Source organism: Homo sapiens, chromosome 13 (genome assembly GCF_000001405.40).
Source record: "Homo sapiens chromosome 13, GRCh38.p14 Primary Assembly".
Classification (NCBI taxonomy): domain Eukaryota; kingdom Metazoa; phylum Chordata; class Mammalia; order Primates; family Hominidae; genus Homo; species Homo sapiens.
The window spans coordinates 92,599,066-92,617,777 of record NC_000013.11 but is presented as its reverse complement, the minus strand read 5'-3'; the positions used below and the strand labels follow the sequence as shown (position 1 = coordinate 92,617,777).

At 33.9% G+C, this 18,712-nt stretch overlaps 1 protein-coding gene and 1 long non-coding RNA gene across 3 annotated transcripts in view; one reads left to right on the top strand and one right to left on the bottom strand.

The window, feature by feature from the left end:
- LOC105370315 (uncharacterized) overlaps positions 1–7,132 on the top strand; it is a 67,055-nt gene extending 59,923 nt beyond the window's left edge. The window contains exon 3 of the long non-coding RNA XR_931643.4: positions 6,326–7,132. This is a non-coding gene — a long non-coding RNA (uncharacterized LOC105370315). The remainder of the gene's footprint in view (positions 1–6,325) is intronic.
- The window catches only part of GPC5 (glypican 5), a 1,468,617-nt gene that overhangs the window by 249,460 nt on the left and 1,200,445 nt on the right, over positions 1–18,712 (bottom strand). The window lies entirely within an intron of this gene.

The window sequence follows — 18,712 nt, the reverse complement described above, 5'->3', positions numbered from 1 at the left end:
CTCTTGAAAAGTGTAGTAATTATATTCATTGTTATGTTACTACCAGTCATTGCAATTTATAAAATTTCCCTGAAATAACAGTAAAATTTTTGCATTATCATTAATATTAATGCAATAGTGAATAACATATGTCTGACACCTACAAAGAGAAAAAAATCATAAATACATATCAAGTGAAATGAATCTTTTGTGAGAATTACACAAGGTAGGGAATAGAGTGGCAGTTAAGAGACTCAGGTAAGAAATTTAGTTACAGATGGAACTAGGAGCTTCCTGGTGAAAAAAGAAGTAAGCAAATGTAAGGAATTAAAACCCTGGAAAATAGCAGAAGGGAGAAAGATTAAACTGATTGATAGCTAGTAGAGCAGAAATCTATAGTAAAATGTGGGTGTTTTGATGAATAAAAGGAGATTCAGAATGGAAAGAAGAGCTAAAGGAACTGAATGCTGGATTGTTGATTGCTGTTTATTATGATACCACTAGCTTCTACACAGAGCATGATTTCTAGGTGGCAATACTTGTTGTGAGGGGATCAGGTAGAAGACGTTACAGCGGACAACCTCTGATAGAATCTTTGAGGAAGGAGTAACTTGGTTCTAAGGCTGCTTCAGAGATGTTCCAAAGTCCTTCAGGGCAAAGTACTCAGCAAGCCAAATGACCATGCATTGGGTATCATTTTCTAAGCGCAACAGCATTACATGTGTTCTTTTTCTATTTTCAAATTTATTGTCTGATTTATTTAAATATCCCACAACATTTGAAGTAATGGTCGCTTTTTAATATAATGAAACATCAGTGTATATGTTTATATGTATGTATTATATTCAATATTTTTTATTTTTTCCTTATTTTTATGAATATTTTGTGTATTTTATCTTTCACGGCCTTAGAGAGGGTTTAAGAAAATCTTTAGCATCATTTGGGTCTATCTTTGCCCATTTGTTGTTTCTACAGTTAATGCAGTTCTTGCTTTACGCATTTTGAAGCTCTATTATTTCATACATGAAGTTTCACAAGAGATAATCCTATGTTACAGCATTTTCCTTTTACATCATGTTTCTCATAAAATGCCCATCTTTAAAGTTGGACATTTGAGCAATAAAATATTGTAATCCTTTGTATAAATATGTCCAATATTATCAGCAATTGGATGTATCCAGATTGTGGTAGTGTAACAACACGGTTCCTAAAATATATTATAGTAAAATAGGAAGAACAATGTTACATAATACTTCCTTGCTAATTTTATTCAGTATTTGGATACCAGAAGTATTTTGTAGTATTCATAAATCGCTGTACAATCTGTTTCACATTTACCAGTTATGTCCTCCATAACTTCTCTACACATCCAGACTTTTCCACACTTTATTACATACCTCCAAGGTATGCTATAGTCTTATTAAATAAGCATATTTGATTTCAAGATGCCACTTCAGATTACTATACATTGGCAAAAGACTAAAATATTGAAAACTCTCTTTGTGTTTCTATAGTGGAAGCACAAACATAAATTTTTATATTAAAATGCCCTGGTGGTATCAACATATTAAGTCTTCTTGAGAAAACTTAAATTTTATCTCACTATCCCTCTAGATTATTCTATTTTACTGGGGAAAAATATAAATCCTTATTTTTATCAGCCTTTTCATTTGCTTTACATGCTTTTTGGATGTAGGTGTTGTTGGTAGGGGAAGTTTTTTGTTTGTTTGTTTGTTTGATTTTTTGAGACGGAGTCTCGCTCTGTCACCCAGGCTGGAGTGCAGTGGCGCGATCTCGGCTCACTGCCAGCTCTGCCTCCCGGGTTCACGCCATTCTCCTGCCTCAGCCTCCCAAGTAGCTGGGACTACAGGCACCTGCCACTATGCCCGGCTAATTTTTTTGTACTTTTAGTAGAGACGGGGTTTCACCTGTTAGCCAGGATGGTCTCGATCTCCTGACCTCGTGATCCACCCGCCTCGGCCTCCCAAAGTGCTGGGATTACAGACTTGAGCCACCGCGCCCAGCCTGGTAGGGGAAGTTTTATTGGTCAAAAAAGTTTGGGAAATGTTGCATTGCTCATAGCCTTTATACCCCTTCTTGGAGACTTAAACTGAAATATTAATTGGCATATTTAAGACCATAAGAAGTCTATTTTACTGGATTTGCTGTATTTTTTAACATCTAAAGAACACAATTTGGTAATTTTACTCTAGATGTTTATTTTAAAAGCCGGTTCAGGAAGGCTATATAACTTCTTAATGCCAATGAAAGATCAACTTTTGTTGTAAATTCAAATAAACAGGAAAATTCCAAGGGCAAGCTCCTTTTGTCGTCACTGTGTATGTTCCCTCCCAGTAATCCTGCTAAACCACATGTTCTATAGAAATGGGGGCACATTGACAGGTTTGCATTTTCCATACTTCTGGAAACGCAAGCTTCTCTTTTTGTGGTTTAAGTGATTAACACATTTGATTTTATGTCTATTATCTTTCTAGCACTATTTGAAATAAAATATTCCTATTGCTTGTGAAATTGTCTATAATGCTAAGCCTTAATTGTCAACATAAGAACAACTGCTATGGTAAAGGAAGCAGTGGACTTTGAATGAGAAAACAGAGGCTTAGCGTCTGGCTCCACCACTGCTGAAATATGTGATGTTTGAAAAGTCATTTCAATTATGTGACTCTGCTTCCTTAAACGTGAAATGGAGGTAATCATATGCATAAGACTATTCTTACAGATTTAATTATACGACCCTTTTAAGGAGAAAAGCATTACTGTTTTGTCATTTTGCTTTCTATATTTAACAAAATATCTCCTGTTAAATGTTTGGAACTTATACAAAAGTTTCAGCTGCTTACATCAATATGTTTCCCTTCTGGAGAGTTAACACTATTTTGTAAAAGATGTTTCTAGAGAAATCTAGATCTGCAATTCGAACTTGCTTTTTGAATAGGTCAAGATTAGTATCATAGAATGAAGAAGTAAGAATTTGAAAAAGAATTTGAAATAACCTTGATTCTCAGTGTCTCTCCTCCTACCCATTACATTGTTGAGAAAATGGTTGACTAGAGGAGCTAAGAGAAGCTAAATTACTTGCAACAAGTGAGTGACAGACATAGACATTGAATCCAGAGGCCCCTAATTTGCTACTCTCCTAACTTTCTTGTAACCAACCATTTGAATTATTCACTGTAGTAAGCGGATGGTTTTCTCTGCCCAAAAGCAGCTCACAACTCTGCCAAGTGACCTGAAATGTCAATACAGATGATCTCCAACTTACTCTGGTTTGAATTAGGATTTTTTGACTTTTATGATAGATTTATCAGGACATAATTCCATCCTCAGTGGAGGAGCATCTGGACTTAAAATGGTTCAACTTACCACATTTCATTTTTACAATGGCTTTTTCGGGGTATTAAATGCATTTTCAACTTAGGATATTTTTGTTTTACAACAGATTTGTTGGGAAGTAACCACATTATAAATCTAGAAACATCTGTGTTAGAAACTTAAAGGCTTTGTGATCTTCAAATATACCAAAGTATTATTTTTCAAAGATATTTAAACTTCATTAAGATATGGTCATTTACATTCAATTATTTTTAATGGTATTAGACAAGGAGAGCCATAGCAAAAAAAGGGACAAAAATAAATTATATTTGGTGAGTGAGAGTTGATAGGGTGGAGATTCATTCTTTTGCTAAATATCTTAAAAATTCTTGCATAAAATCATTCTTCTTAGAAAGGCATGCAGAACCCTTCATAAGCTGATAATTTTCTGGCTTCATTCCTTCTTTTCCCATTCAGTCTTAAATTCTAGGCATACTGAATACTGACTTGGTACTTTCCAAATCTGACATATATTCTCACATCTGTGTGACTTTTTCACTTTTTGGTTTTTTGTTTTGTTTTCATTTTTATTTTAAAAGAATTTTTTTAGAGACAGGATTTCACTCTTTTACCCAGGTGGGAGTGCAGTGGCACCATCCTATCTCACTGCAGCCTTGACCTCCGTGCTCAAGTGAGCCTCCTGCCTCAGCCTTCTGAGTACCTGGTTCTATACGCATGTACCACCATGCCCTGATTTTATATATATATAATATATATATTATATAAAATATATATAATAAAATATATAAATATTATATATTTAATATTTATAAAATATAATAAATAAAATAATAAAATAAATATAATAAAATGATATATAAAATATTATATATTATATATATTATTGTATATAAATTATATATTATATTTTATATATAAATTATATATTATATTTTATATATAAATTATATATTACATATTTATATATAAATTATATAATACATATTTATATATAAATATATATATTTATATATAAATATATATCATATTTATATATAATATAATATATATTTATATATAATATAATATATTTATATATAAATATATTATATATTTATATATAAATATATTATATTATATAAATATTTATTATATACATTATATATTTTTATATATAAAATATATATTATATAATTTATATATATATTATATATAAATTATATATATAATGTAGAGATGATATCTTGCTATTTTTTCTATACTTCATATATTGCGAACACAGTCCCTGTTTGATTATTTTTTTCCTTATCATTGCAAACCTAATCATTTTGGAAGTTTAATTCAGGCGTATTGCTTCTATAAAGCCTTCCTTAATCAAAGTCTCGATCATTTAGGTAAAGTTAGATGTCCTCTTCCTTGGCAATAACCCATTTGCACTTAATTGCTTTGCACTGTAGTTTCTTCATTTATAAAATGGGCATATTGACAGTGCCTACTAGGAGTGTTATAAGGATTAATACATGTAAGGTGTTTAAAAGGGTTCCTGAAAAATAAATGTCATTTGTTATGTTATTTTTATTATAGTGTGCATTAATTACATATCCATCTTTTGCACTAGACTATGAAATATTATAGGACAAAGAACTTTACAAATATCTTATTTGAGTATCATTTTTGTAATATAACCCTGTTCCTGTCATAATGTCTGGCACAGAACAGGCAATATTGTTTTTTCACTTATTAGAAAGGTGAATTCTGTTGGGAGAATGAATGCACATTTTGACTACCAGCATCTCTATAGTGCAATGTGAGCACTATGAGAACAACATAAGAGTCCTGAAATTCCAAAGGAAGTTGTGTATGTTTGTCTTTGATGCAAAAGTTGCCAAGAAATAACACTAACTGTGGAAATGTGATGGTATCAAAAACAAGTTTTGTGATGTTATAGTTTTTCTCAGAAATAGCCCTCTCCATAAAATATGCTTTACTGGCCTCACTGAATAACTTATTCCTTTATTTATATCATATGTATAAAGAATATAATAGATACAGAAGAAGATAATGTTAAGATTTGAATCATTTTCCATGTGGATTCAAGTCTCCAAGAAGTTAATAATAAATTATACTAATGATAATGACTGAAACTCAATATTTATGGAACATTTACACAAATGTAGATAGCAGCACAATTCGTGATGTGCTTTGATTGCTCTGAAATGACAGTTTTCAATAAATATTGAAATTAGGTAATAATCGCTAGCATTATGTATTATTTATCAGCATTCAGATTGCCATGAATAGGGATGCCCTTTTGCACATTAACCTCCCTTCAAAGAACTTGGAGAAAAGACCTAATTCCAACTGCAGTAATATTTTTCATACCTTTTCATCCTTCATTATTTATTGTAGAAATGTATGCATACTCTTGGAGTAGTAAGAGAGTTCATTTTTACCAAGTCATGTCTAAAATAGCTCTGAGCTAAAAATATTCTCCCTGGTACGCAATGCAAATAAGCCTACCATGCAATTTTCATGGTTGATTCTTTGAAACTTTTGTAAAACTTAAGCTCTAAAACATTTGGAATCGTATGGCAGTAAAAATAGTAGGAACATCCTGTTTTATACACTGCTATAAAATATTCACCAAAACCATGTCTTTCTGTACTAGAAATACTTTCTTAGTTCAATTGCCTGAAAGAGAAATCTTTTTAAAAGAAAAGAGAGAATATTTTTAGTATTTTAATAACAATTAAAATGTTCACTTCAAAATTCATTAAATAAGTGTTTGGAATAAATCCTGTAACTAGGACATAGTCCTGAGCATTAAACAGTCATTTGCAAAGGGAAAGGCAAGTGCGCTGATAAATATGAAAAAACTCTTGAGGACTACTAACAGATTCCATTTTATAGACATTTGACAACAAAACTATAGATTTTTGAAGGTGAATTTTCATCAGAGAAAATACTTTGAATACATTATGTTACTGGAATTTAAATATGGCTTATCTTTTAGCCTTAAGGATCCATTTTCTGACATGGTGATAGTAAAGATATTGGTTGTCAAGTGGAATCTCAGCAGTCATTTTCAGACAAAGGGAAAGAAAAAGTATGGAAGATGCCTGATTCTCAAAGAGTCATCCGGTCCTGGGATTACAGCCTAAGTCCATGGAAGTGAAAGTCCTCTTTTTCTTTGTACCTCTTACTGAGATAAGTCTGATGCAATTAATTATATTAGTTACATTCTATTCATTGGTTATAACTATATTTTAAATATACCTGGTTTATAAGAATTAAACCTATTTGCCATACCACAGTTATTGCTTCAGAAGCCAAATGTGATTTTATTATGGTCATAAAATTATTTTAGATATCCTCATATCTCTTATATATCTGAACTGCCCAGGAACTTTCATGATTATAATGTACCACATAGGACATATTGTAGTTGATCACTAAGCAGAGAAATCTACCTAGATTAAGCAAAAAAAAAAAAAAAATATGTATTGAGATTGATATGGTTAGCCTTTTTGTCCCCACTCAGATATCATCTCGAATTGTAAATCCCCATATTTTCCCCCATGTGTCAATGGGAGAGACCAGGTGGAGGTAATTGAATCATGGGGGTGATAGTGAGTGAGTTCCCATGAAATCGGATGGTTTTCTAAGGGGCTCTTCCTCCTTCACTTGGCAATTCTCCTTCCTGCCACCCTGTGAGGAAAGTGCCTGCTTCCCCTTCACCTTCCACCAAGATTGTTAAATTTCTTGAGGCTTCCCCAGCCATGCTGAACTATGAGTCAATTAAATCTCTTTCTTTATAAATTACCTAGTCTCCGGCAGTTCTTTATAGCAGTATGAAAACAGACTAATAAAGAGATTAATCTTAATTTTTCCTTTCAGAAATGCTGAATGCTGTTCCTAGATTTGTGAAAGTGAAGTGTGCATAAGCTGCCTCAGTGCGACACTTTCCTTTTGTGAGACTAAAGAAATTGAGGTACTATATGGTACCTTGGAAGTGTCATCAAGATATTTTAAAAGCTGACTGGAGCGCATTTCTTTGATACTCCTCCTAGCTGAAATTAGAACATTTATAAACTATTATCAATATGTCATTAGGAAAATTTTGAGATCTATGATACATTAAGTTTGTGAAATTGTTCTGAAGCAATGAATGAACTCTCTAGATTAACTCTACTAGGATAAAATAAAATATTCCTATTTATTTCCATTCACAAAATAGTTGTTCTCTAGATAATCAAATATCCATAATAATGATGAACCCAGAAAGTGTTTATTTTACCTGGTATTTATTATAGTCAGTTCAAAGTTCAATAGAAATCTCTCTTTTTAAAAAATCTTTGAACACAAAGTTCAACTTTAAGGAAATGTTAAGGCTGTGTACATTGAACTTCATTTTTTTTTTTTTTTTTTTTTTTTTGAGATGGAGTCTCGCTCTGTTGCTCAGACTGGAGTGCAGTGGCATGATCTAGGCTCACCACAATGTCCACCTCACAAGTTCAAGCTATTCTCCTGCCTCAGCCTCCAGAGGAGCTGGGATTACAGGCACATGCCACCATGCCTGGCTAATTTTTGTATTTTTAGTAGAGACGGGATTTCACCATATTGGCCAGACTGATCTCGAACTCCTGACCTTGTGATCCACCCACCTGGGCCTCCCAAAAGTGCTGGGATTACAGGTGTGAGCCAACATGCCGGCCTGAACTTCAATTTTAATACAACTTGGGTCTTGATATATATTAACTGGTGTGATTCTTATGTTTTTCTTACTTAAAAGCATCAACAAAATGCATTTTAAGATTAGCTGCTTGTGCCTCATAAGGTTTTCATGCATGAAAGCTGGTCAACACAGCAGGAGCATAAAACTCATTATTGGCACTGGTTCAGGTCCATTACGTTAACTGGCCTCATCACAAAGCACTCTATTTTTTGCTTACACATTGAATAGTAAATGAAGGTTAGATAAAGTTTTATCTAGTGAAGTAAACTATCTGGCCATTTCCAGTGTTTTCCTTTTACTTTTCTTTAGAATCTTAGAACAAACCTGCTAGACAGGTATTATTTTTCCTTCAAAAAACTGAAAAGAAAGGAGGTAGTAACTTATCTAAGGTAATAAGTGTCATCACCTATGTATTCCCCAACCAACCCCCTCTCATTCACCCTCTCTTCTTTTTTCCTTTATTCCCTCATCCTGATACACTTATTAAATACCTACTATATGCTAAGCATTTTTATTGTTCCTAGGGTTTCAAAGATTTGGCACATTCCTTCGTACCCAAGTTGCTGGAAGATACCAATATTCAAATACAAACGATAAGCTAGAATGTAGTATGACAACACAGATTTATGCACAGAATCACCTGCAAAGAGGAGTAAATAGCTAACATTTTGAGGGTTGGGGGAAGAATTGGGGAAAACTGCATATAGGAGATTTTGCCAATTAAATAAAACAATAACAGTTTTTCAAGACAGGAAAAACAGACAAGGTAAGAAAGGATATTCATGACAAAGAGAATTCAGAAGCAAATTCACAGAGGCATAAGTTAGGTTATATATTTAGAATAGCACAGTTGCCCCCTATACACTATGGTTGGAGCACAGAAAAGAATGGAAAAAATAGTCTAGGCAGTGTGCACAGAGCTAAGATATGAAGATCATGACAATTGTGTATAACAAACAAATGAGTGATTGGATAACTCTATACAACATCTTCAAAGGTGGAGTCACGGGCAGGAACACAGCTCAGATTCCGCACATGCAAACATGTATACACACAGGGATAGGTGAATGCTTTTCTACTTTAAGATGAATTTGAATATTAATTGGAGCATTCTTTCTTTATATTGGATACTTCTTCCACTCCCTATTATATCTGGGCCAAAATAATGCATTTATATTACAAATTTTCCCCTTACATGCATTTAAGTTTAAAAATCCTCTGTATACAAAGGGGGACAATTTCAGATTTTAAACTAATAAGGCTAGAACTGTGTCTTAGGATTGCCTACCATTATAGGATACTGTTTTATAGACAATAAAGTACTCCTAGACAAGAGCAATGGGTGGAGGAAGAAGTAGCATATTCCAAGCTCAGTTGGTCAAATACATGGCTAAGTGCTTTTAGATAAGTAAAGCTTCACAGCTCTTGGAAAGGACTGTGCACAATTAACAGTTAATAACAACGTACAGTTGACCCTCGAAGAATGTAAGAGTTGGAGGTGCTAGCCATCCATGCAGCTGAAAATCCAAATATAATTTTTGACTCTCTCCAAACTTAACTAATAGCCTTACTAATAGCCTACTGTTGACAAGAAGCCTTACCAATAACATAAATGGTCGATGAACACATATTTTGTATGTTATATGTATTATATACAGTATCTACAGTGTTCTTACAATAAAGTAAGCTAGAGAAAAGAAAATGTTATTAAGAAAATCATAAGGAAATATATTTACTATTCATTAAGTGGAAGTAGATAGTTATAAAGGTCTTCATCCTCATTATCTTCTTGTTGATTAGGCTGAAGAGAAAGAGGAGGTGTTGGTCTTGATGTCTCAGGGCAGGCAGAGGTGGAAGAGAATCTGCGTGTAAAGCGCCTGCAGAATTCAAACCCATGTTGTTCAAGGGTCAACTGAAGTCTTGATAATTGGTAAAAGGGTGCATTTTAAGTGTTGTCACCACAAAAAATAGTAAGTATGTGATGAAATGCATACATTAAATCAGCTCAATTTAGCCATTCCACAATGTTTACATATTTGAAAACATAATGTACAAAATATATATAATTTTATTTATCAATTAAAATGGATAAAAACTTTAATGAATTTAAATAACTACACACAATTTCATAGACAATTTGAGGCTCTACTGTGTTGGACTGAAATAGAAAATTTTCTGCCTTATTATCAGTCTCTTCCATTAGAGGGAGAAGGAAAAAAAGTCTGTTCTTATTTTTATGTCTGAGATTGAAATTTTTTTTTTCTGTCGTTTTCCATTCTCTTAGGGAGACTAGAATATAGGCAATATGTTAAACAAAAGTCTTCTTCCTAAATAGAAATTATTATTTCTCTAATGCCAGCCATCGTAAGCAGAATTGAAGTTGCCACTAGTAGATAATGAGCCTGAATATGTTGCTCTTCTCCAGAGCACAATCATTAAAAGTAATTGAGCTGGTCTTGGGGAAGAGTAGGGTAAAACAGGAAAGAGAGCTTTACATTTTTTCTCATATTACTTTATTTTCAAAGGACAAAAAAGTTGCCCAATTTCTCTTTTTACCAAATCTTATTAGATTTGTGGTCTTGCTCAAACTATTATTATCCAGATACATTTTCCACATAGCTGGATATGGCCATTAAAACTTTGGAAGTTTCAGAACATCAAATCTACATACAAAGTCAAAAATATTTGTTAATGATTATAATTATTCAAAATATATTTTCCCTTAAGATTTGACAGAAATTCTAAAAATATAACAGCAATATTTAAAAAATGAAAATTTAAACAACCTCCCAAAGTCAAAACTTTGAATGGGGCAAAGCGCATGTGGAGTAATTGCTTATAAAGTATTTGCAAGTGATATTTACATTGTACCGTACTACCAGACTTAGGATTTCTTCATGGTCAAGACGGCAGTCATACCATTCTTGAGGAAAGTGAAAAAAAACTCCCCCAAAATAAAACAAAGGGAAGAAAAGCAAAGTAAGATAATCCCCTTGTAATATCACCCTTCAAATAAACAAACAGAGGCAGTATTAAATATGTAGGATGTGGACACCAGATCCTAATAGTTAATAAGAACTGTCATACTCTAAAAAATATGGAAAGGACATTGTAGACCTGAGCACTTTGCAGCAGAAAACCTCATCCTCATTCTACAAGTTTATAAAAATATAAGAAAAGAGTATGTTTATTGCAGCACTATTCACAATAGCAAAGATTTGGAACCAACCCAAATGTCCACAAATGATAGACTGGATTAAGAAAATGTGGCACATATACACCATGGAACACTATGCAGCCATAAAAAAGGATGAGTTCATGTCCTTTGTAGGGACATGGATGAAGCTGGGAACCATCATTCTGGGCAAACTATTGCAAAGACAGAAAACCAAACACCACATGGTCTCACTCATAGGTGGGAATTGAACAATGAGAACACTTGGACAAAGGGTGGGGAACATCACACACCGGGGCCTGTCGTGGAGTTGGGGGAAGGGAAAGGGGTAGCATTAGGAGAAATACCTAATGTAAATGACGAGTTAATGGGTGCAGCACACCAACATGGCACATGTATACATATGTAACAAACCTGCACGTTGTGTACATGTACCCTAGAACTTAAAGCATAATAATAATAAAAAAAAGAAAGATAAAAGAAAAGAGTAATGGTTGGTCCAAGTTAGGGTCCCAGACCAAGTAACTAAAAGGTTTAATACCTTCTTAAAATAGCTTTGAAAATTTTTATTTTTAAAACTTCTTCCTTCTTGAATTAAAAGTTGCAGTTTCCTCCTTTTTGTTTTCACATCAGATAGCATTTACTTGAGTTTCTAGCTCTTTTATATTACTGATTAATAACCTAATATTATATTTTCTTTTTTTTCCAGTCCTATCTTAATCCTTAAAAAAAAATCCAGGCAAACTTTTTTTTTCCCTTGGTGTCCTAACCGTGTATTTTTGTAAAACTAGTGAATACGTTAGCCGGGCGCGGTGGCGGGCGCCTGTAGTCCCAGCTACTCGGGAGGCTGAGGCAGGAGAATGGCGTGAACCCGGGAAGCGGAGCTTGCAGTGAGCCGAGATTGCGCCACTGCAGTCCGCAGTCCGGCCTGGGCGACAGAGCGAGACTCCGTCTCAAAAAAATAAAAAAAAAAAAAAAACTAGTGAATACGGCTGCTCATTTATTTTTCAGATCTCTCTGATGCAGAAATGTTTCAAAGGGATAAACTACAGACAGAATTCTAATTTAACTATTTGCAAAGTACTACTCTTTTGCCAAAAATGATTGAACTTCAAAGCCTTCCTAAAACATCATACATAATTTATTTTAGGGGAAGAAAACAATAAAATCCAGGATGAGGGCTGGAACAATGGTATTTTAAATAAGCTGTAGTGACAAGTAAAGTATTTGCTTGGAGATGAATATACTTTTTATCACAAACCATTTTTAAAAATTTATAAATCTAGTAATATTGGAGAATTAATGATTACAAGAATTTGTGGAGTACAGGAAAGAGCAAATAATTCACTATGATTGCCTTTCCCTTTTTTCTTAAACTAGGCAATTAATTGTTTCTTCATCATACATTCCAATCACAGATTTCTAATTGGTTTTTGACTTATATATCATGATGGGTTGATTAACAATTCTCTAATCAAGATTGCATAGTGTTCACGTGTGTTCAATAATTCAGCAATTCGTCTGGGAGATGTAATGGGACCCTGGGATCTGGTTGACATTCAGTGACTGCTGAAAGCTCCAGAATACTTTATGCCTAAATTGCCCTCAAATTCCTTAATGAAGAGTCAGCAAGATTCCACAAAATGCACTCCTTGCTATACTTTCAAGATCAAAAGAAAAGCTTGTATATTAATGAGAAAACACAGCCATTTGTATTGTCCGGAAAAATCTATATGTGAAATGTTGAAAAATATGTATAAAATAAAAGCACTTAGTAATGGACATCATCTATGTTGTAAGCACCTCATAAACAACAATACTGAAATAAAATTCCTTTGAAGTGTTGGACTTTTAATACACTATATAAATGCTCATTAAAAAGTGATTTTCCTGACAAAAATCAAACGTCATTTTCAGGCAATTTTTCACTCAGTTTGAGAAACAATAGTACAAGAAGTTAAAACTGGGTCTGAAATTAATCTACGCAATTGCATAGTTTCAGTGTGCTTTGTTTAATCTGCCACTTTTAAGAGGGTTAACTTGAAAAAATAAAATTTAGAAAGTTCTAGGTGCCCAGACAGGGCAAGGTGTGAGAGTTCTGTTTTTAAAAGCCATTTGGTTTGTTAATTCACAAAGACTGCTTATTATCTATGTCTTTTATTTTATTTGTGTAGCCTTATATTTTTAACATTTATTGAGTATTTACAAATATTATGTTAAACCACTTCTACATTTAGATAGATACTGATTTCTGAATAAATACTTCTCACATGTAAATCCCTAAATACATTTCAAAGAAATGTAGAGATCCTTTTATTTTTTATCCAAAAGAAATGTTCTCAAAAAGTTTACCTTGAAGTGAATTCCTGTAAAGTAATTCCTGTTTTGTTACTGATTTACATTGAAAACTAATGGGTTAATACCGCTTTATGATCTTTTAGTTAACATGCAATTTATTAATTTGTGGTCAAATAATATGTATCTTACATGAGGTAGAGACTGAAGGTTGACTCATGATACATTCTTCTCTTCTTTTTGAGCACGTAGGTAAGCTACATATTCTGTCCTCTATTAATGTTAAGTATATTCATGCGATTATGTTTCCTCAGTGGAGGGAGTTGAAAGTGATGCTTACAACTTCCAGACCTGGTCCCCAAGACAGTGATATACCTCCTGTACTCTCTCCCCTTCCTGCCATCCAGAACTCATGATGATGTAGTTTTGGCTATGGAGAAGATGGCAATTTATTGAATGATGGCACAAAACAAAGGAAGGAAACTTCATTCTGGAATGACTTCGTAAGGCAAATTCACCCACAGACCTAACCACTCACTTCAAATGTAACACAAGAGAGACATATACTCTTCTTTTCCAAGTCCATTGTTGTTGGGTCTCCTTGTTAAAGTAGTCTAGTTTTACCCTAGGTAATACAACCATGAAAGAGATCTATCCAGCCCATAATATTCCTGGAGCTCTCTTAGGCAAGTTGTGTTGTGCCTCGTAGGTGCAATCTCTTAAAACATTTCTATCATTGAAACCTCAGCTATAAGATAATCCAAATGTTCTTATCAGAATTTTTAATTACTAAATCATACAATCTAGGTTTAGTAAATTTTTGTGAAAGCAAACCAAAACAAAACAAAATGCTCAGAACCTCTTTAGAAGGCTTCATGTAAGGGGAGTGGTTCTGGGATTTGAGAAGACTAGGTTGCTCCTGGGAAGACAGAGATTTTCTTAGGCTTTAGAATATGGAAAAAAAAAATGCTGTTGTTCAGGAATGAGTTAGCTGAGCAGACTTGATGTCCTCAAATCCTGCACATTCCCAAGGACCTAATTTCATGACTGGTCTTTGGCCAGTTCTTGGAAACTGAGTTATTGGAATTGAGACCTTTATCCATACTATACCATTATGTCAAGATAGTTTAAACAAACAGTGGGATTTATGGTCAACAATTGCTTTTCTTCTGGAAGTCTATAGCTTCAGTGACTGAAATCAGTTATGTAGACACTATGTACATAGGCTCAGATGGGCTTCCTAGGCAGGCAACACTTTGCACATGCTATCCCAACTTACCGGAGGAATCAATTTTGTCCTGTGAGACTGCTGAGAGAGGACTTGGATACTTGCACCTATGTCCTTCAGACTACACCTCATGTGGCTTTCCCCTTTACTGTTACTGCTTTGTATCTTCTTGTTGAAAAAAAAATCAAAACTATGACTATAAGGACTTCTGAGTCTTGTGTGTCTTTTTAGTGAGTCATCAAGTCTGAGTATGGTCCAACACAGCAATTCTTTTGAACTTGTTTTGTCATAGATAATTAGGTTACTGACCTAATTTCCCTCTTGGAATTGGTTGTTAGAAGTCTCAGTTTCAAAAGGATAGTCTGCCTTCAAGAATCCCACACCGTCTTTCATTTTTGGCCTATACTGTTCTCAGAAAGAGTCTGCAAGAACCTAGGGCTTTGCAGTCTTCAAAAGCAAGAGGTTACACTGGTGTAAAAGAAATAAGCTGCTAAATAAAAAACTGCCTTAGTAGCCCTTTAGTGATCATGCAGATTTGGAGCAGTTAGTAGAGTAAACAATCCAAATGGCAAGTTTATGTTCACAACTACCCTGTAACTCCAATCAACAGAGCTCTAAGTCGGCACAGTTCAACAAATTAGACAGCTAGTTGGAATAAACTCATATTAAGGCAACTAATTATTTAGTTGATGAATTATACTTTTAAATGCCACAGAGGGACCAGGAATTATTCTTTACAGAGTACTCATAAATACATGTGTGTGTGTGCATATATATATATATATATATATATATATATGTTATATATATATTTATATATATGTAATATATATATTTATATATATGTAATATATATAGTGTGTATTTGTATATAGTGTGTATATATATACACACATATGTATTATATGTATATAATACTTTCATTAATTAATAATTTAAGTAATTGTAATAAATAAAGTAATATAAATGCAAGCCAACAATTATTTTCAAGGCATTGTGCTCTAGGGGTATATACATAAATGCTAAAATTTCTGCCGCCATAAAAGTGAGATATGTATGGAAATGATCTATGACATAGGCTTCAGTACAATAGTAGTAATAAATAATAGAAATAACTCAAGGTATTAAAAATGTTTCCTAATCAAGCTTAAGTTATGAAAAATGTCATAGAAGAAATTTTCAGTAAGTCCACGTGTTCACTTGGATCTACAGATTTCTGTATTTCTCTTCCACAAATTTAGCCTCTAAAATTTAGCTAAATTCCTATTTTGTCTGCATTTTAATAAAATCTAATAATACTAGGCTATATCATATTAATACATTCATATAAAGCATTTTATTATATTTTCTTTTTCAGATGATTATTTATTAAACACACACACACTGAAATCTTATGTTTTAAGAACAATGTAATGCCTATGGAAGACATAAAAAATGAGCAATATGTGTTTCTTCTTTTTTTTTTTTTTTTTTTTTTTGAGATGGAGTCTTGCTCTGTTGCCCAGGCTGGAGTGCAGTGGTGTGATATTGGCTCCCTGCAACCTCCGCTTCCTGGGTTCAAACAATTCTCCTTCCTCAGCCTCCCGAGTAGCTGGGACTACAGGCACCTACCACCATGCCCGGCTGATTTTGTATTTTTAGTAGAGATGGGGTTTCACCATGTTGGCCAGGCTGGTCTTAAACTCCTGACCTCAGGTGATCCGCCTGCCTCCGCCTCCCAAAGTGCTAGGATTACAGGTGGGAGCCACCACTCCTGGCCCAATATGTGTTTCTTGTTCTTCAAAAGATTGCTCTAAGGTGGTACAAATAACTGTATTACAATAAAATAAGCTTAGTATTGGAAATAAAGTGAAGAGAATAATTAAATTCAAGACATGTTGGAAATTTTTCAAAATGCTACAGGTTAAAATTAAAAACCAGAAGTTAAAAAATGTCATTGAGTCTCTACCTTATAACTAAATTACTGATTTCTCAGCCAGGTATTTCATTTAAGTGGTTGGGATAGAAATCATCCTGCAAGAGATTATGGTGAAAGGGTGGTAAGGATGAAACAAGTATAAATTATATTCCAAAGAATTTGAGGATAAAGAGATAAAATCATGAGGTAGTTGCTTGTAGAGGAGTTCAGGGCCAAGGGGAGGCTATTTTCATATTTGGGTAAATTTAACATGCTTATACACAGAATGAGCCAATGAACAGCAAAAGATTAAAAATAAACTGAAAAAAGGCTGGGCGTGGTGGCTCACACCTGTAATCCCAGCACTTTGGGAGGCCGAGGTGTGTGCATCACCTGAGGTCAGGAGTTTGAGACTCGCCTGGCTAACAGGGTGAAACCCCATCTCTAGTAAAAATGCAAAAAAAAAAAAAAATAGCTGGGTGTGGTGATGGGGTCCTGTAATCCCAGCTACTCAGGAGGCTGAGGCAGGAGATTCACTTGAACCTGGGAGACGGTGGTTGCAGTGAGCTGAGATCATGCCATTGCACTCTAGCCTGGGTGACAAGAGCGAAATTCCGTCTTAAAGAATAAATGAATGAATGAATGAATGAATGAATTGAAAAGAAAAAAAAACACATGGGAATACTTTCTTAACTGGCAGAATCTTGCTAGCTATATGCTAAGTAATATTCTCTTTAAAAGACTCCACAAATAAGGTAAAATGTGAGAAATAAGTTCCAATAAATTGCTGTGCCCTTAAGAAAGTCAAAAAACAAACCCTACAAAATATCTAGAAGTCAAAAATAAGATCAAAGCACATACAAGATGATGAAATATATTCAAATATATCCATACTTCACTAAATATAAATGGACTACATGCTACGGTTGTACTGTTGGAGAAAAAAAGCAAATCCACCTACAGGAGATTTACAAAGACACTTGAAAAACACATGGATTTGAAATGTTGACAGTGACAGCACAGAAAGTTCAAGAAAATATTAAATAAAAAAATTGAAAGCCATGATAGCTAGAGTAATAACAAGTGGCCTTTGACATCATTTTTTACTGCTTCTGCCACACTATATCCCGTAAGTCACCAAGTCCTATGTTAAATGTCTTTTAAATATTTCTTGTTTGGGGTGATTAAAACCTTTTGGAAATAGTGGCGATGATTGTACAACATCATAAATGTAATCAATGCCACTGAATTGTATGCTTAAATAAGGCTAAAAGGGCAAATTTTGTGTTGTATATATTTTACCAGAATAATTTTTTTTTACAAAAAAAAAGTCTTAATTTAACCCTCTCTCTTAATCCAGGAAAATTATCCATTAGTGAAGGCTCCTTCCTTGGATAACTTATTACTTCCTAACTGGTTTTCTTGTTTTCCCTGTTTTGTCCTTCAACCGCTTATCAGCAAGGAAGCCAGAGTCATCCTCATGCCATTATCCTGTTTAGCAAGGCCAACCGACCACCATCAATAGTTCTGCTCTGTCAGCAGGTTAAATTCCAAACTCATTAATATGGCTTCATTATCAGCCCCTTCATTTTCCACACACTGCAGATCTCTGCAGAATCAACTTCTAGTATGTCCTGCTTGACATCTTGCCTTGAACTGTGTTCAGCTCCTCAAACACATGCTTTCTTTAAAATCCAGGACTTTGTCAGGCTCTTCCTTCTATTTAGAACACCATTTCCCTCCCCGCTCTTCCATCTTCAAGCCGACTTTTCTCATTACTCTAGCGAATCCCTGCCAAGTTTCCAAATTTTAGCATAGGCATCCCTTCCTGCAAAAGCCTTTCCTGGTTCCCTAAATATAGTTCAGGTGCATATTTACCTAATAATTGCACTCACTGCACAGTATTATAATCATCTGCCTATAAGTCTGTATATCTCATTATATTATAAGCAATAAGGTCAAGAAGTATGTCTGTTGTATCAAACATTTAACATCTGGGTCTACAACTACACTAAATAATTGTCAACAACTCACAATGAAAATTTGTGTTATTTATTGTTTTGTAAAAAC